The 24,359-nt window shown below is 37.3% G+C and overlaps 1 protein-coding gene and 1 long non-coding RNA gene across 18 annotated transcripts in view; one reads left to right on the top strand and one right to left on the bottom strand.

Moving 5' to 3' along the window:
- SNCA (synuclein alpha) overlaps positions 1-20,110 on the bottom strand; it is a 114,206-nt gene extending 94,096 nt beyond the window's left edge. For 3 of the 17 annotated variants that reach the window (NR_164674.1, NM_001146055.2, XM_011532205.3), the window contains exons 1-4: positions 20,058-20,110; positions 17,353-17,498; positions 9,949-9,990; positions 4,052-4,194 (exon numbers count right to left, since the gene is read on the bottom strand). Coding sequence is in view for 14 of the 17 variants with exons in the window: in NM_001146055.2 (NP_001139527.1) it covers positions 4,052-4,194; positions 9,949-9,990; positions 17,353-17,473 (306 nt within the window). In the remaining 3 variants the exon portion in view is untranslated. Of the gene's footprint in view, positions 1-4,051; positions 4,195-9,948; positions 9,991-17,352; positions 17,499-17,932; positions 18,047-18,266; positions 18,336-18,548; positions 18,968-20,057 lie in introns of those variants that run through there. The other 14 variants (NR_164675.1, NM_000345.4, XM_011532203.2 and 11 more) reach the window with 8 other exon arrangements.
- Positions 18,207-23,797, top strand: SNCA-AS1 (SNCA antisense RNA 1). The gene is made up of 4 exons (NR_045481.1): positions 18,207-18,540; positions 20,067-20,212; positions 23,147-23,206; positions 23,517-23,797. It is a non-coding gene; the product is annotated as an SNCA antisense RNA 1 (long non-coding RNA).

Here is a 24,359-nt window from a genome sequence, read left to right on the forward strand (position 1 = left end):
ATTACAGAATATACACGTGTCAATCCATTTGAAATCAAGATTTAAAAAAAGTTGTTCATAATATATTGATGTAATTTTTCCAAAATGGCATTGCTTAGGAACTTCATTCTGATTTTGAACAACAATAAATAACATCGCTGAACCTGGATGTTTTAAGTATCCAAGGCAACAGACATTTCAAGCTTATTTCTTGCGTGAAAACTATTAATCATCATGTAGATAAGTCGTGTCTCAATGGGATATGATAACGAAGCTGACTGCTGTATTATTTGTCAGGCAGTGGCTTCACAGTTTATTCAGGACTTTTGCTCTCTAAAACTCCAGAAAATTACAAAAATATAAAAACTTCAGGATCCAACTCTTTTAGAGCATTCCATGTGGCATGAAAGAGATGCTCATTAGTTCAGCAAGGATTTATTTGAGCACCAGCCACAAGCAAGACACTGTTGAGGAGCTGGGATAGACCAAGTGTTCTAGTGGCTACTCCACACTGCACGCATAGTAGCATTACAGAATAACGCTGATTCAAGTCACTTTCTTTGTACAATATTCTTAGAACAAGCAGATCTTTCTTCTTCAATAGAAGTAGGAAATATAAATTTTCTCTATATAACATCACTGTTGCTTTGCACTTAAAATTTCTGCCTGTGCACTTTTAACCTGTTTCTACTCTGCCAATGAAAGGTATGAACTTCAAGAAATGAATTGTATGACTGATAACTTCTTATGTGCACATGAGTAAAAATATGGATCAAAAGATCTATTATTCTAATGTACTAAACACAAGAGTTAATATTGTTCTGTAAAACAAAATCTTATAATTCAAGATAACTCATTTGTCCTTTAACTAGTCTTATACTTAGAAATTATTACTAAGGGCAGCTACATTCATATGATCAAATTAACAAAACAGGTATCTGCTTTGATTTACTCTCGATTTATTGGTTGTTCAGAATTATGTCATTTAATTTCCACCTATTTGTGAAGGGAGAGGGAACTTTCCCTCCCTCATCAACTAGAGGGTGATGGACCAGATACCCTCAAAGGGCATGAAAGGTGAAAACCGGTGCCATTACTCCCTTTCAGTGTTCCTGATCTTAAAAGCAGAGCCATTAATCCACTTCTACAAGCTAGACATCCAGTACCCCTACTTGTCACATCCCTCTTCCTCCAAGTTTCTGGCACAGTGTGAGCAAACATTCTTTCTTGAATGATGAATGAGTGTCTCAATGCAGTCATTAATAAGCATTTCAAGCAAAAAGAGTTTGCTTATTTCTATTTACCAGGGTCATTTTGATCAAAGTTTAAAAAATGAAATAAATTATTTCAAAGTTCATAATGAACAAATTAAATACTTTCATTGAAACCATCCAGATTTTTTAGCATCCCATAGATGTGACCACAATTGCAGACATTTATTAGAGTATTCTTTGAATTATTATAGAAACTCAGAACTTTATTGCTAAATTAGACTTCAACAATTTTCTAGTAGAGCTTCCTCATTTTATGAGAAAGACTTTTAGGAGATCTGCGAAAGGTTATCCAGTCAGGTGGTGTATGAGCAGAGAGGAAGACTAGCCATTTTCACTCTCAGTCCAATGTTTATTTCCACAACTATGCTGCAATTTCTAGGTTCTATGGCTTCATTTTCATATTAGAAATCAGTAAGAAACTATACTACCTATAAGGGAAATATCTCCAAATGATTAATTTTGTCACATCACTTAGATTTCTGCTTTAAATATTAAAATAAATAGAAGTATTTTTAGATGGGTGGAAAGCAAACCCAGTTTTGTAAAAGATTAAGCACTTTCATGCTCCATTTGCAATTTATATTGTATGCCTTAAATGCAGGTGAATAAAAGACGGTACATGTTTCCCTGTTGCTTAATATTCTGAAGCAATAAAATCCTCTAGTTAAATCTAGTTGTCCATAACTGAATGTATAAAGACCCAAAGGAAGGTAAGTTTTGAGGAAGTGCTTGGGGAAGTGATATAGTGGCTGGAAAAGTACTACTGGTGTCCAGTCTATTCCAAATGACTGTGCAATCTTGGACTACCCACTTCCTCTGTAGATTTCTGTTTCCTCATCTCTACAATCAGAAGATTGATCTGAACAGAGGGTCTGTCAATGGACTTCCCATTAAGCTCTTTGATGTGCGTATGTGAGTGCGCATTTTTCTGAAGCTAAGAGGGTCTATAGCTTCTATTAGCCCGTGAAAAGGGTCGGAGACACAAAACTGATTAATTGCCTGTGTACTAATTTAATCTGAGGTCCCTCTTAACTTGTGAAATCTTACGAAGCTATAAATAGAATTAAAATTTTAGATGGAAACCAGGAATTAATATAATTATTATCCCTAATAAGATTATTTGAAAAGCATATTTTGTACAAAGGGGTACCACCATGACCAACCATGCATTCAAACATTAGCTGAAGAACTTCACTAGAAGCCCAGTAAGGATTTGCCATCATTAGCATCCATTGCACCAGACACTAGACATGTAAGTACATGTAGTAAATCTAAATATATCACAGATATTTTTGTTCTGCCTTTTTATTATCAGAGTTTTAATGGGCTATCAAGGTAAGGCTGCTACTTAGGATTACATGAAGTGGAAACAACCCAGAATAGTTTGCCAGCAAATAAAACTTCTTTCTCACAATTTTCAAGATATTCATCCAAAATCATTTTGATTGTAACTTTTGGATAGCTGAATAGCACTGTTCTTATACTAAGCATATGATTATAAAAGACCCAGAAATGAAAGTTGTTGTGCTTACTCACTTCCTTCCCTCCTTAATTTAATAAATGTTTGTTAATTGTCTACTGTAAGTTGGAAACTCTCCCAGACACTTGTGAAATATCAATGAACAAAATAAATATATTTCACTCTCATGGTGCCTACATTCTAGAAGGGAGAAATAAAATAAAAATCATACATTAAAGTAAGCACATTATGTATTATATTTAAAGGTGAATAACACTTTGGCAAAGAAAGGAAAAAGAAAGAAAAGGAAAGAAGGAAGGAAGGAAGCAAGAAAGAAAAAAGAGAAAGAAAGAAAGGGAGGAAGGAAGGGAGGGAGAGAGGGAGGAAGGAAGGAAGGGAGAAAGGAAGGAAGGAAGGGAAAAGAAAGAAAGGAAAGAGAGAAAGAAGGAAAGAAAGAAAGAAAAAGAAAAAGAAAGAAAGAAGGAAAAAAAGTAGGGAGACTGGGAATACCAGAGGTGAGAAGAATGGCTCCAATTTTATATAGATTAGGGCAGGCCTCCCCAAGAACGTGTCAGGGCAAGGGTATGCTTGATTTATTCAAGAAATAGCAAGGAGGTCATTGTGGCAGGGAAAAAGCAAAAATTATTTTGCTGTTGTAGTGGTGATGTTTGTGAAACTTCAACGTTGTTGACACCTCATACTGTATTAGTTCCATATTTAAAATGAAAGTTATAATATCTTTGGTATAATCTTATTCGTGTCCCATGTTTGTCAAAAAAATTCAGTCAAAATTCTTCTCAGAATTTTAAAATCTACCTCAAAACTATATCTCTGGTTGGTATGTATTTTAAGTCTCTCATTTCCCACAAATATGTATTTGGCAATGAACTGTTATGTAATATGCAGATATGCCATTTAATAAGAGATGATGTCACTATAAAGAAATAAGTAAAAGAACTTTATTTTGGAAATTAGGAAATTAGGCACAAAGGGATTTGTTACTCCAAGGAAGAGAAATTCCAAGACTTACAATTAACATGAAAGCCCTCATTCTTTCTGAAATGTCACTGTTCCTTTGGCATTTTACTACATTTTTTGTTTCATTAACTTTCTTCCAGAAATTGAAACAATCATAATAATTATAAAATTTGCATGGCATTTATCTGGGTTAATGCCTGAAACAAGCAAGACCAATATAAAGGTAGCACTTTTTCACAAGGGGAGGGTCAGGTAGCCGTTCCCCACAGTAAGTATCTTGCTCCTGCCTCCAGGCCTCACATGAAAATGAACCGTAATCTCACCAGCTTATAAATGTAACACAAAACGTACACAGCCATACCTTGCCCAACTGGTCCTTTTTGACAAAGCCAGTGGCTGCTGCAATGCTCCCTGCTCCCTCCACTGTCTTCTGGGCTACTGCTGTCACACCCGTCACCACTGCTCCTCCAACATTTGTCACTTGCTCTTTGGTCTTCTCAGCCACTGGTACAAATAAAGAGCAACAACAGATTAAAGGGTGGTAGAATAACAGTGACTTAAAATCATTCCACTTCCACTAGCCATCGGCTTCCATACACCTGTATCTACACATGCCATAGATAACTGAGTGGTCAGAAGAAACAAAAGCCACCAAGATGTCCAAGTGAGTGTGGTTCAACCAAACATTGAATCTTGGCTAAGATATTTTGGCTAAAGTCATGCAGTATTAAAAAGTGCTTCAAGTTTAACGATCAGGAATGTAAAGCCATGAGTGATTTGGATTTGGTTTATACTATGGAAAGTTTACAGAAAGCAATTCTTACAGGTGCAGTTATATTTGAACCAGACTCAGCATGAATATTTCTTTATTTCAATTCAGTGCCAATCCTTTGATCTCACTCAGCAAGTTAATTTCCACCACACCTTCTAAGCAACACAATACATACTTCTATTTATTTATTTATTTGAGATGGAGTTTCATTCTTGTTGTTCAGGCTGGAATGCAATGGCACAATCTCAGCTCACAGCAACCTCCGCCTCCTGAGTTCAAGCTATTCTCCTGCCTCAGTCTCCCGAGTAGCTGGGATTACAGGTGCCCACAACCACACCTGGCTAATTATTATTATTATTATTATTTGTATTTTTAGTAGAAACAGGGTTTCATCATGTTGGCCAGGCCGGTCTCGAACTCCTAACCTCAGGTGATCCACCCGCCTTAGCCTCCCAAAGTGCTAGGATTATAGGCATGATCCACCGCACCCAGCCCCTACTTATTATCTACGTGTTCAGACGTGGTATTATCACATATGTACGAATAACAGCATAAGAAACGGTTGTGAAGGAACTTGGATCTTTTTATAGAACTTCAGGTAGTGAAACAAAGGGTTCTTAAAAAGCTAAATTTGCAGTAATTTTAATAGGAGCACAGGAGCTAGACAGTATGAAAATGAAGAGGCTATTGAGCACCCTTACAATTTCTTTTCATAAAACAAAATGAGATACGGTCATTCAGTAGATTTATTAAAATAAGTTAACATTTTTGAGAAGACAGTGTAAATAGTTTGAATTGAGTTTACAAGCAGAAGTTTAATTTCATGTCAAAAACTTTCTTGTTCAGTTAAATAAGCCAGAAACAGAAAGGCAAACAACCACATGATCTCACTCATGTGGAATCTAAAGAAAAAGAAAAGTTGATATCATAGAAGCAGAGAGGAGAACAGTGGAGGAGAGTGGAGGATGGGGACACTCATCTAAGGAAATGAAGGCACATTTTCTTGACATGCTTTGTACTCCCCAGATAAGCCTCAGTCTGAGAGGAGTTACACCATGTCAGCTGTTTAGTGCTATTCACATGACTATTGTATAGGTTTCATCTCACCAGTTGAAGAAGCCAATATTTACTTATTTATTTATTTATTTATTTATTTTGAGACGGAGTCTTGCTCTGTCACCCAGGCTGGAGTGCAGTGGCACGATGTCGGCTCACTGCAAACTCCGACTCCCGGGTTCAGGCCATTCTCCTGCCTCAGCCTCCCCAGCAGCTGGGACTACAGGTGCGCGCCACCACACCCGGCTAATTTTTTTATATTTTTAGTAGAGACAGGGTTTCACCGTGTTAGCCAGGATGGTCTCGATCTCCTGACCTCGTGATCTGCCCGCCTCAGCCTCCCAAAGTGCTGGGATAACAGGCGTGAGCCACCGCGCCTGGCCTGAAGCCAATATTTAAATGGTGTGGACAAAGCAATTTGTTTTCAAATAGACTATGTAAGCTAAGGGGGTCTGTAAGGACAAGAGGCTTTCTCCTTAGTACAGGCAATGTGGGCAAGCCTGACATAGCCACACAGCCCAAGACCAGAAACGGTCCACAGTAGTGTTGCTCCCTATTTGTCTTTTAGGCTAGAATTTTGTACAACTACCTAACAACTCCGTGCCACTTCTAAGGATATGGCTGATGTCTCCTTAAGAGCAAGAGCTATTTACAATTCAAAGTTCGATTTAAATGCCAGCGAAAAGCTGTACTGAAAATCTTATGTTTTAAAACATTTCTGAAATGTTGATCCTTTAAAAATAGTCAATTATGTGTTTCAAGTTGTCATTTTTTTCCTTTTCAAGGACGTGAATTGAAAATTTTGCTTGAAACGAACATTTTCTTGTTATAAAATCTCAAAGCGAGATTAAAAATAGGTTTTGAATTTTTTACAGATCCAGCCATAAATTTTATAATATCTAGATAGCCTTTTATATATGTATAAATTTTAATCTAGTTTTAATGCAATACACTGCACAGTAAAATGTACTCTACACATTATTATAATTTTGTTGTTTTATTATTATAATCATAAATAAAATGGCTACATTACAAAATGACAGAGTGTACATGTAGCAATAATCGACACATTTAAAAACATTTCTGTAGAACTGATTTCTCTAGTAGGGTCTCTGCTGACCTTTAACCTCTATTTTTCCCCTTGAGGGCCTTTCACACTATCTCTCTACTCACTGACATTCCAAATGACGGGTGACAAAACAAAAGGAAAAGAGACACACTCATATTAGTACATTTTGGGTCTAATAAATGGTAACTGTTTTTCGGCAATTGAGTTCTTTGAAATCAGGGATTCTGCTTTATTTTTCTTTATATTATTTCATAGTAGATAATAAATAATTTAGAATATACTAAAATGAATTTAGTGTCTACCTCTAATGTCTGCATTAATATAAATAATAGGTTTATATTTGACTTTAGCTACTTTAAAAATAAAATTCCAAAAAGGAAATGTGATACCAACTTTTAGAATAGATATAGCCAAATCTAACCTTTGACATTAAACAAAATTATAAAATTAATATATGGTTTTGAATTGTTATACAAGTAAATATGTATATTTAAATATACATATGTAAATATGGATTTAAAGAAAATAAATTTGAAACAATTTACTAAGGAAATTTAAATCATAATATGTTGAAAATTAGTTTTGTTCATTATGATGTAATAAATTTATAAGAATCAAAACCTTCAGAAAATCTCCAGTGTTAGAAATTTCTTTATACTATACTTGCATGAAAAATAGGTAACTTTATATCATAGTTTATTTTTAAAGTACCTGAAAAAACATATCATTCAGTAAGTTTAATTAAACACATTTTCATATATTTCTATAATATGATGCATTAAGTTGATAACTGAAATAATTTCCTGAGATCAAACAGCCAGGATTTAAGTTGGTGGATTTTTCATTGATATTATCTAACTAGGATAATTTATTTTATTTGAACTTTGTAGGTAGAAAGTTCCCAGCCCAAGTTTACTGAAGTCTGTATTTCTCCCCTGCCCCACCGAAAAAAAAAAAGCTAATGGGATGAATTTAGGGGAAATTGTTTCTTTAATATTAGAAGATAATATTAGGTACTATGTAATAATTTCTTGTTTCCCTGCATTAAGACTTGTAGCAAGAACAATTAACAATTAGTTAGCACTTAATATGTACCCATAATAAACATTTTACATCAGGCATAATATGCAAATTATTCTCCCTCTCTTTAACCATTGAAGTGTAATTATCTTATTTCTTCTCATAATTAGACTTAAGCACTTTATATTAAATAACCCTATTCAAAAAGTTAATTCATTTATCTGATGTGGGAGAGGAATGATTATGATAGCAGCCGATTTATCCCAATGTGTTTCTCATAGCCATACTAGTTATGACAGCATTTTTGGTTATTTCACTACTGCCAGGGTGGTCCATGGGTGCAATCGCTGTAAATATTGCACATGCTGAAATCACCATGTCCTTACTGCCTAGCAACATTTCCCATAGTTTTCTGTGGAACACTAGTTTCATTCAACCCTAGTAACTAATGAAGAAAGTTTTCAATAATCAAAAAGTTTGAATAACCCTGATTTTAACTATGTAATGCAAATTTCTTTACTGTAGGACATCTCAGATTCCTTAATACGCTAAAGAGAAAATAAAGTATACAAAGTCTCCCAACATTGTACAATGTTAGAAACTTAAGATTGTGAGCCACTGTCCTTCAGAAAACATTTTATAAAATGTCTAATTGTACAAACTTCAGTCTCTCTCTCTCTCTCACACACACGCACACACACACACACACACACACACACACAGATATGTGTTTACATTTTGGCATTCTGGAAAAGACTAAAAAAATGCAGCCCATCTCCACAGTCTCCATTAGATCATCAGGTGACAGTAATAGTTGGGTTCTTTAATTTTTACCACTGACTCCAGAACTTGCCACATGCTTGTCTGCTTTCTAAACCTCATGGGTTCTTCCTCAACTACTAAATGGAACACCATTCATCTAGGTTGACCGTCTTCAGATAGTGGAGTCTCCACCTGTCTGTTATCTAGTTCTTATTATAATCATGCTTCACAATATCATATTTATAGGAGGTCCCTAGAAGGCATCATAGTCCACTTACTTAACTACTTCTCTGTTGGATTGCAACAGAGCCCATTAAAGGTGCACAATTAACTTCTAACAGAACTAGTTTCAAAGGAGTCTGTTTTATTTTTACACTCTGATTTTTAAATCAAAAGTATTCATTTAAAGAAATATTTTTCTCCACTAGTTGTAAAAATGTTGCACAAGAAAGTTCACTATAAAACTATAAGTAACACTTATAAAATACATATTGTTTGCTTTTGTTTTCCAGATGTTTTGTGTACATTAATTCACTGAATTATTTTATAGATGAGGAAGCTAAATCACACAGAGGTGAAGAATCTTGCAAAAAACACACAGCTGGTAAGGAGTAAGCAGGAAGTTGAACCAAGAAGATCTGACTCCTGTGTTTTTAGTCATATCCACAACACTGTATTAAGATTCCCATATCATTGTCCTCATTTCCATTTTAGAAGTCAGTGATAGGAACATTTTATTTGTATAGGCACTATTGTGTTTAATGCTTTCCGATTATATAAATTATATTTCTGATTATATCTTTTGCTTCACCACATCTGCCAGGAAACGTGGAGTACTTACAACAGAAAACTTAATTACAGCAAGTCTGTGGGCTTTTAATTTGTTAAATTTTGGTTCTCCTTTGATTTCTCTATTTCTGGCACTCTCATCCTCATCTTCCTCAACATCTGATGATGATTATCATCCTTTTCATCATTTTTGATATTTCTTGATTGTAAACCTAATTGACTTGTTCAAATTCTCGGTAAATTTAGGCCAAATGAATAATATAATCAGAAATGTAATAATTGCACAATAATATTTGTACAAATAGCTATACCATAACAATACAAAGATAAATACAATAAACATTTTACTGACTGTCCAAGGGTGTTTCCTGAAATGCACTCTGAATTATCAAAGGAATATTGTAATCAACATAATTTAAGGTCAAAATATTTTACTGTAATCAACAGAAATTTTACTTTTTTTAAAATTATGGCAATATTCACATTTTATTTTTGTCAGCAGTTTGTCAATACATTTTTGGTCAGAATATTTAAATGCCCACTTACTATAAATTAAACATAGCTTATCAATTCAAAGCCCTCATTATTCTTGGCAAGTATATTTTTTATTTATAATCAATATTTACCTATTTAAAAATACTTTATAAAGAATTCAGTTTCAATAAGACTGATATGTTCTTAGAATGCTCAGTGATTGTTTTACAATTTCATAGGAATCTTGAATACTGGGCCACACTAATCACTAGATACTTTAAATATCATCTTTGGATATAAGCACAATGGAGCTTACCTGTTGCCACACCATGCACCACTCCCTCCTTGGTTTTGGAGCCTACAAAAACAAATTCAAGACATAAGTCTCAAGCTAGCCTTAAATTGCTGATTAGCTAGTTTTCAATACAACTAATTTAAAAATCTCAATCTTCAGAAGTATATATATTATTATATCTTCAGGGAAAGAAAAAAATATATATATATATCCTAAAACTAGAAGAAGGAACTCCAGTAACCACCACAATAAATAGAAGAAAGCCCAGCTAACAGGAGGTCCTCTCCAATTACGATTTTAGCACAAAATAATGACTTTATCCCCTTTGTTCCCACATCACATGTCAACTTACAGAGGAGAAAAAAGAATGAGATAACACCGGGGCCCAGTGAGAAGATAATTTTGAATTCAGAACTGTAGAAGCTTTAAAAGTACAGCACTAGAGACAGATCAGTCAACCCATGAAACAAAAGGGAAGAAGGATGGAGAGAAGGCTTTAACATGTGCTGAACACCCATTATGTAAAAAAAACATTTTAGGCTGGGCGCAGTGGCTCATGCCTGTAATCCCAGCAATTTGGGAGGCCGAGGTGGGCAGATCACGAGGTCAGGAGATCGAGACCATCCTGGCTAATATGGTGAAACCCCATCTCTACCAAAAATACAAAAAATTAGCCAGGCGTGGTGGCGGGTGCCTGTAGTCCCAGCTACTTGGGAGGGGCTGAGGCAGGAGAATGGCATGAACTCGGGAGGCAGAACTTGCAGTGAGCCAAGATTGTGCCACTGCACTCCAGCCTGGGTAACAGAGCAAGACTCTGTCTCAAAAAAACAAACAGACAAACAAACAAACAAACAAAAAACACATTTTACATATCATCTTATTTAATCTTCATAACAGCCATTTAATATAGTTATATTATGCCCATTTTAAATAGCTGATGAAATTAAAAATCCGAGTTAAGTAATTTATGTAACATTACACATGTAATAATAGGCTATAAGCACATTCAAACTAGGGTCTCTACACAGGATCAGAATTTCTTCCAAACCTTGAACATTACTAAACTTGAATACAAATAATTATTATGTGTATTATTAAAATTATGCTTGTAAAAAATTGTATTCATATCCTCTCTAATGTTGGATTTTTCAGTGTAATTCACACTGTATAATTTATGGAATCGGCATGATTTTTATGTTTTACAGAATTATCATACTCCTTTTTAAGTTTGGATCAGTTTACAAAATGTTATCATTTGCACTTTAATGTCATGATATACTGACAGTGTATTTAACATAAGGTGTATTTTTCAGCAACACTTCCTCTGGGACACCTTCACTCTTTATCACAACCTCTTTCCCCATTATACGGATACCTTCACCTCACTACGTTCCTCTGACTGCATATTTAGAGTCTCCTGAATTGCAGCAGTGACAACATCCTCAGGGTAGCTACTTCCTGTATACATCAACTTATGTTTGATTCAAATTTTACTTCCAGAATGTTTCACTTCCTTTGTTTGCTACTCTTTCATCTTTGCTGGCCAGTTTCCTCTTTTGATTGCGCATTTTCGTGAAACATCACATGGGCTCACCACTGGGAGACAATGTGGCCACACAAGTCCGGGCATTGCTGTCTGTATGAACTGCATAACAGATGTGAAGCAACCAATCTCCAAAAAGCTTTGAAAGAAGTGCTGTGGTTTTGTCACTGATTATAATGGGTTTCTGTTATTTATGTAATGATTTGAAGGCTGAAGAGTTAGCAGCAAAGTTTGTACTTTATGCAATGACTTTCGGTATACTGTGGTAACAGAAATTTGAATTGTGTTGTTAGTGGCTGGTGTTATTTAACTAACCATAGTACCTGGAATTTGTTTGTGCTGGAACTATGCAGAGTGAGAACAGCTGATATTTAAGAGAATATGTTTCAATCTCTATCTCTCATCCTCACCACCTGCACCCCATGTTGTCTTAAAAATGACTAGTAGTAAGAAATGTCTAACAGCTGGAATGCGATCTTTGTTCTTTGCCTTAGCAGTACCTAAGAATTTGACCTTTGGTTAAATTATGAAACATATTCTAAATCAAAGACAATGAGATAGAAGTAGAGAGTAGAATTATGATTATTAGAGGCTGACAACGGTAAGAGGGAGGGGAGGATATGGAGAGGTTGGTTAAAGAATATGAAATTGGAGCCAAATATGAGGAATGAGTTCTAGCATTCTGTAGTACTGTAGGGTGATATACTTAACAATAGTTTATTGCATATGTTCAAAAATCTAGAAGAGAGAATTTTTAATTTTTACTGTTCCCACCACAAAGGAATGATAAATGTTTCAGGTAATGGATATGTTAATTACCCTAATTTGATTATCACACATTGTATACATGTATGGAAATATAATTCTGGATCCCACAATTATATACAATTATTACATATTCACTAAAAATAAAAGAAAAATTAAAAATAGAGTAGCATATGACCCAGCAATCCCTCTTCTGGGTGTAGATCCACAAGAAAAGATTTCAGCATATCTGTTTCCAAGGGCCCCAACACAGTGGCTCTTGCTTGGAATCCCAGTGCTTTGGGAGGCTGAGGCAGGAAGATCACTTATAACTATATAAGGAATTTTAAAAACACTAAAACTAATATTTATTTATTTAGCAAACCAGAATTTAAAACATTAGAAATTAAAGTGTTTTATTTCTTTGTAAAAAACTTATCAAGAGTAATGTAAATAGTGTTTGTCTTCTTCTCATTGTATAACTTCCTATACGGAGTGGACATGTTTTTTATATTTTACAGAATTGTCATACTCTATTCTAAATTTGAATTAGGAGTTTGAGACCAGTCTGGGCAACAGAGTGAGATGCTATATCTACAAAAAATATTAAAAATTAGCCAGGCATGGTAATGTATGCCTGTAGTCTCAGCTACTTGGGAGGCCAAGGCAGGAGGATCTCTTGAGCCCAGAAGTTTGAGGTTACAGTGAGCTATGATAACACCACTCCATTGCAGCCTGGGTGACAGCAAGACCCTGTCTCCAAAAAAGAAAAAAAGAAAAACATAATAGCCACAACTAAAGTGTCTACTGATAGATAGGTAGATAAAAAGATTGTGGTACATAGATACAATGGAATATCAGTCAGCCCTAAAAAAACAAGATCCTACCATTTACAACATGGATGAACCCAGACAAAATTATGCTAAGTGAAATAAGCCAAACACAGAAAGAAAAATATTACATTATCTCACATATATGTGGAAGCTTGAAACAAAATTCAAATATACAGAGACTACGTAAAAAACAGGGTTAATAGGGGTGGAAAAGTAGGTAGAAAATAGGGACATATAGGCCATAGGATCCAAGCAAGTAGCAGATGTGTAAGATGAAAAAGTGTACAGATCTAATGTATGAGGACTGTAGGTGATAAAATTGTACTATATTTGAGATTCATGATAAATAAGTGGATTTTAGCTGCCCTTGCCACAAAAACAACAAAAAAGGTAACTATGAGAGATTATGAATATATTAATTTGCTTCAATATAGTAATTTTTTAGTGTCTAATGTATCTGATAGCATCATGTTGCATACCCTAAATATACACAATTAAATTTATTTTTAAAAAAGAATGCCACTAGGCCGGGTGCAATGGCTCACGCCTGTAATCCCAGCATTTTGGGAGGCCGAGGTCGGGGATGATGAGATCAGGAGTTCGAGACCATCCTGGCTAACATGGTGAAACCCCATCTCTACTAAAAATACAAAAATTAGCCGGGCATGGTGGTGCATGCCTGTAATTTCAGCTACTCAGGAGGCTGAGTCAGGAGAATAACTTGAACCCAGGAGGCGGAGGTTGCAGTGAGCCGAGATCACACCACTGCACTTCAGCCTGGAGTGAAATGACAGATTGAGACCCTATCTCAGAAAAAAAGAAAAAAAAAAGAATGCCACTAAACCACACCATTAGAACTTATAATTAATTATTTTTTATAAATATCTTATGCAACATATTTTATATTTTTGTAGTGCAACCCCAAAGAGATAGGTATATAACTTAAAAAAACGAGATAAATGAGAGTCCTCATAAGGTTACCATGTATCAAACCAATCAGTTGTTCTTTGAGGTCATAATTATTTACTAATAATCTGTAATTGATGGTTAGCCTTTAATTTATGAGTAATCTGTAATTGATAACGTACACCTACAAAATAGGTGCCAAGTGGTTATGTGACTAGCAAGGTATAAATGCTGTAGGGACACCAGAGCTGATGGCTTCCCTGAGCGGAGGTGTCCCACACACACCCTATCTTGTCTTCCCAACCTCAAAAGAGCACAGAGTGGAGAAGAAGGTCAGAAGTAATACCTGAGAGTTTTGAGAACTCAGTTATCCCTGTTGTGCATGTTATGTTGACTTTGTCAGCTTAGTGAGGTGAAGCACATTTTGACTTGAGAATTTGCTATCAATTTCACTGATGGCCACTGCTGCTTATTGAGCAGAGTGGCATTGGAAGACACTCAAAGATCATCATTTTCTTGTATTTATTGCATTTATATTACTGAGCATTATATAAAGATAATTAAATCTTTCTGCTTTTGGATTTAGATCTAATTAATTTCTGAGTCATTTGAAGAAATTTTTGTCTATTAAATTGAAGTATGTTGATTGAAAATTGGTGTACGCAGATAACAAAAATGGAGGGAACAAAACCCATAAAAATAACACTGATCATTAAGGTAGTTCTTCAATGAGTTAAAAAGTAGTTGTTAAAAGTATATTCTTATAAAGGAATGAGATTACTTTTCTTATGAGGCTTCTACCAAACATCTTCAGCCATAAGTGAAATTATAAAATGGTCTTTGGTCGCCTCCAATCTTTCAAACTAGTTATGTAATGAAGGATAAAAGAATAAATGGAAAACGTGTTGGCAAAGTAATTATTCCGTTGGAGAGTTTATTTGATAATAATAACCATGGTTCCTATATATAAAAGTGTGCTCAATTATTCATATGTCCTGTCTTATTATGACATTCCCACAAAAACTGCAAGGTAGTTGCAGTTTTCTAAATCATATTTTTTACTAATCAGGGAAGTGATGCTCAGAGATGTTAAGTACGCTTCCCCAAGACCCTAAAGGTGATAAGTGATGTAGTCTCAACTAAAACTTTGGTTTGTGTGATTAGTGCATGTTCTTTCCACTCTATCAGTAGTCAGCAAGCTACAACATACAAGACAATTCCAGCCCACCACCTGTTTTGATAAATGAAGTTTTATTGGGACACAGCCACACTAGTTATTGTTTATGACTACCTTCACACTTCAACAGCAGAATTGAGACATAGATTTTTTTTTCTTTTTTTTAGACAGGGTATCACTCTGCCACCCAGGCTGGAGTGCAGTGGCTCGATCTCAGCTCACTGCAACCTCTGCAGTGAGCTGTATGGCTCAAGCCATCCTCCTACCTCAGCCTCCTGGGTAGCTGGCAATACACATGCATGCTACCATACCCGGCTAATTTTTGCGTTGTTTGTAGACACAGGGTTTCACCATGTGGCCCAGGCTGGTCTCAAACCCCTGGGCTCAAGTGATCCACCAGCCTCGGGCTCTCAAAGTGCTGGGATTAAAGACCTGAGCCACGGCACCTGGCCAAGACATAGATCTCATGGCTTAAAATACGTGCTATCTGATTCCTTACCCAAAATTTTGCCAATCCCTGGACTATACTATTGTGTCTTCACATGGTCATTTTTTATCTTAAATTCTGTGTGTAAGTTCAACTCTCAATTAGAACTCAGAATGTAACCAATAAAAAATTTATAGAATGTGCTATGTGTTAAATGCCATGAGAGACATTGAAAATGATTTCAATGAACAGTTAAAAGGTAACTAAGTCAAAGAAACTTGTGCTTGCAGAACTTGGAAATCTGAGGACAAACGGAAAGATATTGATAAACTGCATGTCACTGATTCAGTATTCCAAATTCCATCTAAAAAGGTATAATTCACACTTCATAAAATATTTAAAATTAACTCATCAATTTTTTCCTCTTGTAACACCCTATTTCAATGACTTTCTGAAAATATGTTTTAAGGTAGAAAAAAAGTAATTTAATTGAAGATTTGTGGGAAGATTAAGTCAACATAAGAAAAGTCTAAATAATGAGGCAGTGGCACATGCCTATAATCCTGGCTACTCAGGAGGCTGAGGTGGGGGCATGACTTGAGCCCAGGAATTCAAGGATGCAGTGAGCTATGATAGCATCACTGCAGTCCAGCCTGGGCGACAGAGCAAGGCCCTGACTCTAAAAACTGAAAATAAAAAACTGAAAAAAAAATGTGTTGTGAACTTTGATGAGATGCATTCATATAAATCATCCCAAGTATAAAATTTCCCCCACTGATCTATGTTGAAGAGATAGTGTAGCTTTCTTTCACTTTGCAGACATAGACGGAGCACATGTTTCAGCTAGGCAACTCAATGTGGTCATCCTCCACCTGACTGTTCATCCTGTGACTCTTACTGCTATAGTTGCCACCAGAGAATGTGAAAAAGCTCAGAGGAGAAAGAAGAGAGGAAGAATGGGCAATGTGTCTGTGTTGAGTGTGTGTGTCTATGCCTGTGGATGAGAGTGTGTGTCTATTCTTTTCCAAGGAATTCAAAGTGGTTTGTAAAATAACACTCAATTGAATACAGTTCAAGTTACAGAAAAGAGAGTCAGAGTTTGGGTGTATACCCCAAGGTGGAACTTTAGGAACAAGTAGGTAATAAGCATCAATTTCTTTATTCTTTTAGTATGTGTGTCATTTGATGGATGAACTATACAAATGTTTCTGAGAGATTAGTAGCAGCCCTCAAGCACTTTTCTCTGTCCTCAGTGTTCACAGAGACCAAATGATCACATGAAGTAACTCTATCAAAGACTAATCTGTTCTTTCCATTTTAGGGCCACAAATAGGTCTCTTTATACACATCACAGGGGCATATCAAAGTCATATTTTAAAAATCAGAATGGATTAAAATTGACAAACATTTTTCATGATGGTAAAAGAAATCACAGATCCATCAATGATTTTGATTCTTAAGAATATTCTTGATTATTTTTTAAAAGACTATGAGTTTTTAAAACTGTTCTCTGAAATAGAATTATGTAGGTACAGAAACATTCATTTTTAAAAAGTCATAAATATTAGGGCAAAATTAAAAATCTGGAAAAGCAAACAGTCGCATTTTTTACTATTAGCTCAAATACACACGTTCACATTCACCTACCTACACATACCTCTGACTCAGTCCACCTTTTTGACAAGCAATGATGCAAAAATGAATCAAGAGAGAGAACTACCAGCATTTAGAGTATTGATTATCCTAACCCATCACTCATGAACAAGCACCAAACTGACATTTGGGGTTTACCTACCTACATAGAGAACACCCTCTTTTGTCTTTCCTGCTGCTTCTGCCACACCCTGTTTGGTTTTCTCAGCAGCAGCCACAACTCCCTCCTTGGCCTTTGAAAGTCCTTTCATGAATACATCCATGGCTAATGAATTCCTTTACACCACACTGGAAAACATAAAATACACTTTGAATGAGAACTTTCGGGGAAAAATAAACAAAAAACACTGAAAAATCATGAGAAACCCTCCAAAGTGTGAGACTCTTTTAAGTGTACACTCATTTAACCATTGGACAAAGCAGACATTTTTAGCTCTGGCATTAAAAATTTAGCATCTCCCATCCATCTTGGCTAGTAAAAGTCTAGCCACCTAACCACGGATTAGGATGAATCCTCTGAGTTGTTATTACTGCATTTCAGAAGTGGAGTTGCATGAAAAGATTAACCCCTTTTTTAAATTCCCGGGGTCTAAAGGGTAACAGTATGAGTTAGAAGCATGGAAGCTGGAGGCTTAGGGTCAGGGGTATCCTTAACATGAATCCCAGAAGAAGGCTAACAGGTTGATGGTGGAAAGGCGTAGGCAACAGAACTAACTGCTCACTCGGGGTGTGGTTCAAACTCAGGCAAACAGCAGGCCCAAGTGTGATGGTTCTAATCCATCCAACATCCACCCCCGCCCTCAGCTATCTACCCTGAGCAGGCGCCGCTCACACTCGCGGGCCGTCTCCAACCCCGCGCCAGCCACCCGAGGGGGCGTTCTCAGCCTCCACCCTAGCGGACCCCGCGCCAGCACTTGTTAACCCGTTACCACCTGTTGACTTGGCCTCCTTGCACTTCCATTTCATTATTTGCCAAACGCAGCTTGCTTACTTTACAGAGAAAAACCAAGAGAGCGGGCAGACAGATTTTATGTGAGAGAAAAGTTGGATGCTCACGCTCCATGGAGCATCCTCGCGTTTCCCGGGGAAAAGCGGATCCCGGAGAAGCAGCCTAATCTCTCAGCCCTTGTGGAGAAGGGAATATCAGAAGCAGGACGAAAGCCAGGTCAAGTCTCTTTCCTTAGGCTCCCCAAAGGGACAAGTACTCACCTCCCAGAGACCTGGCCCAGCGGGTCCTCATGGCAGCACCACCCCCTCCCGGTGCCCACGACCATTCGTCTCCCATCCGGCGTTCTCCAGGATTTCCAAAGACGCCCGTTTAGATCCACAGGTACTTACCTGAGTCCCTCTGCTTCTCCACAACTCCGACTCCTCCCCGCCTCTCTCTTTTTTTAAAAAAAAAATTTAAACAATTCCCAAATAATATTTAATAGGAAAGAAGAAGGAAAAGGAGCGCACAGGAAGGGCGGAGGCGGCACCCGGGGGGGACTGTCCCCAGAGGAGGCCGCTGTGAGCCGGCGACGCGAGGCTGGGGGAGTGGGAGGCAAACCCGCTAACCTGTCGTCGAATGGCCACTCCCAGTTCTCCGCTCACGAGGGTGGAAAGGCAGAAGGCTTGAAGGCAAGGCGTGAGGGAGCGCCCAGGACGCTCTCGGAGGGGCCGGGCCGGGGTCTGCGCTGCAGCCCGCACGCACCTCACTTCCGCGTCGCGGCGCTCGGTCGCTCGCCCCCTCTCTTGGGCCCCTTCTGGTCGTCGCCGTCCTCCTCCTCCTAGTCCTCCTCCTTCTCCTTCTCCTCGGCTCTCCGCCCCCACCGCTGATTTGTCAGCGCTTCTGCCCGCCCCTCTCCCGGCGCTCGCTGCTTTCCCTGCAGCGTGCTCCTCGTCCCTATCTCGGATGGGGATGGGGCAGGGGGCGCGGGGTGAGCCATCAACTCCAGCCGCCTGCCTGGCCGCGCAAGGCGGGAAAGTGGGGGCGCTTTTGCGCCTCACGTTAAGTTTAGGGTCACGAGCACTCTTGTGGAGATCGGGAGCGGTTGGGCTAGGGATGATGCCTCTTCCTCTTTCCCCTTCCCCTCCCTTCTTGTCCCCGCCTTTCCTCTGGGTCCTCCCGGGGACCACCCCCTACCCCTCGTCAGAGTCGCCCTGGGAGAGCCGAGGGCCTGAGGGTCGACCACCAAGGGCAGAGCCTATCCCTTGGGGAGCTGCTGGAGGAGACAGGCAGCGCCGGGAGGTGGCTCACACCGCACCGCCGAGAGCGCTTTGCCCTCGCATCGCTGAAATTTAATCACGGTCACAGGTTACAACGTTAGGGGTCGCTTTAGTTCAAATATCTTCAAGGTTTTCGTTTGCTCTTAATCTAGGAAGAGCCGGAAAGGGTCCTGAGGGTGAAAGGGAGACTACTAAGGAAGAGTCACAGGTTGAGGAGGCAGGAGAAGGCTCAGCAAATCCTCTTTCCACGCCACTATCACCATTTTCCTTTCCACCAATCAGCGCCTGCCAGACGCTGATTTTCCCATCAGTGGAACAAGGAATAAATATTCCCCAGCCGTCTAAAACAAGCGGTCCTAAGGCTTTTCGCTCTAGAAATGGGACTTACTTTGCAGACCTCCCTTTATCTGGGAGACAAATCCAGCGTGATTTAGCCTACCGGACCATCATATCCAATTTCTTCTTCAGCCCCTTCTGAAAGGGAGATGCTACACACCACTCACCTTTCTGACTTCTGATTCTCGTTGCCCTCAGAATTGACACCCCCTTTTCTCTCCCCCCACCCACCACACGCACATGCACACAGACATACACACGCGAACTTCAAGACAATTTTTGCATCGCTTAACACATTTTCACCTCTTTCAGAGCTGGAAGACAGCTGTTCCTGGATCACACCAGAATGGAGAAGCAAGCTCCTCCCACTAGCAGAAAGCCTTTGCTTTCTGTGCCTGGATTCGGAAGATTAGTTAAGCACTGGAAGAGGAGGGGGGAAACAACAACTCGTTTTTGCTGTATGTTTTTTTTTTAATTGTTTTTATATTTATAGAAAGTTATGCTTTGTCTGATTCTTGCGCTAATTTGGGTTCTGAAATTTGAGTAAAATCAAATTTAAACATACAAAACAACTTTAAAACCACAAGGAACAGGAAGCAAATGATTATACATAAAAGACATATAGAAGATAATGCATATGTGTTCAGTGGAAAATAGAAAAGCATGAAAGTAAGATCACAAATATTTATTATTTAAACTCTTCCTTGAACTATTGGTCTGCCCTTTGGAAAAGCAGACTTTCCTTAATGCAGTAGCTCATATTAATATTTTTTGTTTGCTTAGGACCAGAGCAAGAAGGTTGGACTTGGGAGCTAGTTTGCTGTCTGGCTTTGAGACCTTGAACAAGTTTTGTTCTCCTTCTGTTTCCAGTTTTCTTTTTTGTAAATTAGGAGATTAACTCATGTGATCACTCTATTTTCAACTTTTTGTTATGGGAAATATTCAAACATATGCAAAAGTAGACAGAATAAAGGACTCTCATGTGAAGATCATCCAACTTTTACATTTTTTCAATGCATGGCTGATCATGTCTCATCCATAAGTCCACTCACTTTATCACTACCAATCCTCCCTCTTTTTTTTTTTTTTTTACCAAATTCAAGCTTTATATATATCTTTTCAGCTGTAAACATTCAGTATGCATCCACAAAATTTAAGGACTGTTTAAAAATAACCACAATATCATTAGATGATTCTTTAAAATTGCAGTGTAATTTACACCTAGGGAAATGCTCAGATGTTGTGTCCCTTTAAATCAGTTTTGAAAAAGCCATGCATTAGTGTAACCCACACTATTTTGAAGACACAGGACATTTTCATCATTCCAGACAGTTACCTTGTACCTTCATGTGCATATTCTAGAATGTCATAAAGATCTAATCACGTAGTATAAACTTTGTTTTATATTTGTCTGACTTCTTTTACTCAGTATAATATTTGTGAGGTTCGTTCATGTCGTTGCATGAATGGGTGTTTTGTTTTTTATTGCTTTTTGTTGTTTCTTTTTACTACTGTTAATAGTATAAGTTTTCCATTGTGCCTCTTTACAACTAGTATCTCAATAGAGTATTACAACAATTATTTAATATATTATTTCACATGACATATTTATAGTATAACCATGACCTCCTTGAGACCTAGTGCTTTAAGTCAAAGAGGTAAATAAAATGAGATATTTTAGGTCTCATTACAACAGACCAATGTGAGAGAATTATTTCTGGACAGTTGCACTTCTTATAAACGTTTAACATGATTCCAAACTTTTATTTGGTAATTTGTTAGTCCTTTGGCAAAGGACTAATGTACTATGTTATTTAGTCATAACAAGCAGATCAATTACATTTTATGTAACTTTTATAGACAGAGAAACTGAGCTCCAAGAGTTTTGGTGATATGCTGAGATCACCTAGCTATTTTAAGTGGCAGAGCTGAGACAATTTAGCAGAAACTGTTACAGAAGGCACAATTGTCTCCTGAATTAGCAGTTTGTGTCTGAAGCCTCACAGATTGGGTGTGGTAAAGAGTGAGAAGGAAAAAGGTAGAACCCAGCTGTGTTAGAAATAGCCTTCAAATTTGGATGTGACAATGGAAATCAAGAAGAACTTATGTTATTATGAAACAGTTCATTCATATTTAAAGTTTTGCCTTTTCTATATTGGTATTCCTCAATAGGGGGAGATGATTTCTTACTACCTACAAAAAAAGAAAACTGTAAACTAATTTCGTTGTCATTTTGAATTACAACTATATGTTTAACTCTTGTCACTCCTTAAAATGCCTTGAACACAGTAAACATCCAATGAACTTTTAATTACACATAATATTGATAGTGATATTGCATATGTTCTAGGTCTGTATTCTTAAGGAGGGAAAGCTGCTCAAGTACAAAGAAGGGAACTAGAAGTTAAAATAAAGTTTTTTTAATTTTTCTTTTCATTATTGATGGACAGCATGGTCTTCAGTAAATCTTTAGCCTCTCTGAATATAACGTTAAACTAATTGAATGGCTTGTACCTCATAAGAAATATGAAGTTATGAAGTAATAACATATTTGGAAGCATTACTAACATGCATATTCTGTTCATAACTACAATATTCATGTTTTGTTTTCTCTTTGCTAAGTGAAATATAAATATTTTACCAGACCATAATAGGATTCTTTTATCTGGATTTAATTCATTAATTTTGCTATAGATTAACATTCTATGAAATATATGCTTAACCTAGACTTTGTTTACCCCCATAGAACAACTGAATTTTTAGGTATGGTATGTGGTAAACTTGTGCTATAGCAAAGACAGCAGAGTAGAATGGCATGAAAATAAAGATGCTGCCCATTAACAATTGATTAAAGAGAGGACTGATTTAATGTGTTTAAGTTAAGAAAATACAACGTTTATTATCTTTGGATAATATTCCGTATTTGTTGTGAACACAAGGGGTGATGTAATGTTGATGCTGGAGCCACCTGCTTCTTATTCTCTATCTGCACCTTCCTCTCACCTTCTGTAAACCTGTGAGAGAGACGAGGTAGTGAGATTGCGATAGGCTTCTTGTGTAATTTCATAGTGGGTAGAGTAGAGAAAGCCTAATGCATACTGTTGGGAGATCATTATGTATGATTTTGGAAAGGGGGTGAGCATGAGATGGGGGAATAGGGTTACTCTGAAGAAATGGGAAGAGCAATCAAGGAGAAGCATAGTATTCAGATTCTCTAATTTGACCCCATGGCCAACTTCATATTGTTTCCACTAGATATCATTTTAAATATTCCTGTGGTTTCGTGGTCCTAAGAATATGAAGGCATGCAAGATTCCAAGATTAAAGATGTTAAAGCCAGATAGAAAAGATATTTAAATATTTCAAAATCTAACAAGTTCAAATGACTTTAGTTTTAGAAAGAAAAAAACACATTAATGAGCCCAAGAAATACACGCAACTCTGCAACTCTGGTGAGCATGATAGACTTCTAAGAGTAAATGTACTAGATACAACCTAAATTCAGGGACTTATTAAAGCTCTACTACTCATTACTAGTGACTCAGAGCAAGTATCTATAACCTCTCTAATCTCTAGTTTTCTCATTAAAAAATGGGCATGATATTTTACTTGTCTTGTTTGATTGTTGTAAGGAATGAATAATGTGGCTCATAGCAAAGAGCCAGGCAGAGTGGAAGCTCTCAGTACAAGTAGCTATTGTTATTATCTAGCCTCCATGTTTTGGGTGTCCTAGGACATGCTTTTTTTTTTTTTCCATTGCAGTAGATTTCCACCTGTTCCCATCCTCCACAGTCTCCCATCCCACCAGCAACACACGTGAGATATCTGATGCCTTCCCATCAATAACTCTCACTTAGTATGGGTAAGCAAAAAATTTCCAACCAGGGATGGAAGTTGTGGAGAGATAGAGTGGGAAAGCTCAAGGAGCATTGATAGGGATCATTAATTAAAAATCTACCAAACATCTCTTTCTCTCCCTAATGTGCGAGTTACAATAACATCACTCAAAGCAGTTTGCAGCCACAGCTTGAAGAAATACAGTAACAATGACAGAATTAACATTCACTATCTTTATTAACATTTTTACTTTCTTAAACCTTGTTTCTTTCAAAAGACACTGGCATAGTCCTGTATGAATTATGTGGATTTGCCAAGAGAAAAAAATAAAATGATACAACAAATGGTGTTCCAAGTTTGACAGACCCTTTGTGCCAGTGGCTCTGAAAGGCTTCAGAATGAATATCCAATTCAGAAATCAGTCCCTAATATTTCAGATTAGTGAAGAATCAACAGACTGAACAGCATTTGTATTCAGAAAGGAAGAAAATAAATGAATTTTTAAAATATCACGGGAACTTGTAATGTTTTGTGTATTGTTTTGAACTGAAGTTACAATACTGTTACAAACAGAGTATATACAGCAAATAAGTATGTTCCTTACAATATCCAAAATATCCAGGAATCTAATACGTTTTCCTTTCTAGATAATTTGAGAGTATAAAGTGACGTTTAAGAAACTTTTTAGGTCGGGCATGGTGGCTCACGCCTGTAATCTCAGCACTTTGGGAGGCTGAGGTGGGCAGATTACCTGAGGTCAGGAGTTAG

Source organism: Homo sapiens, chromosome 4 (genome assembly GCF_000001405.40).
Source record: "Homo sapiens chromosome 4, GRCh38.p14 Primary Assembly".
NCBI lineage: Eukaryota > Metazoa > Chordata > Mammalia > Primates > Hominidae > Homo > Homo sapiens.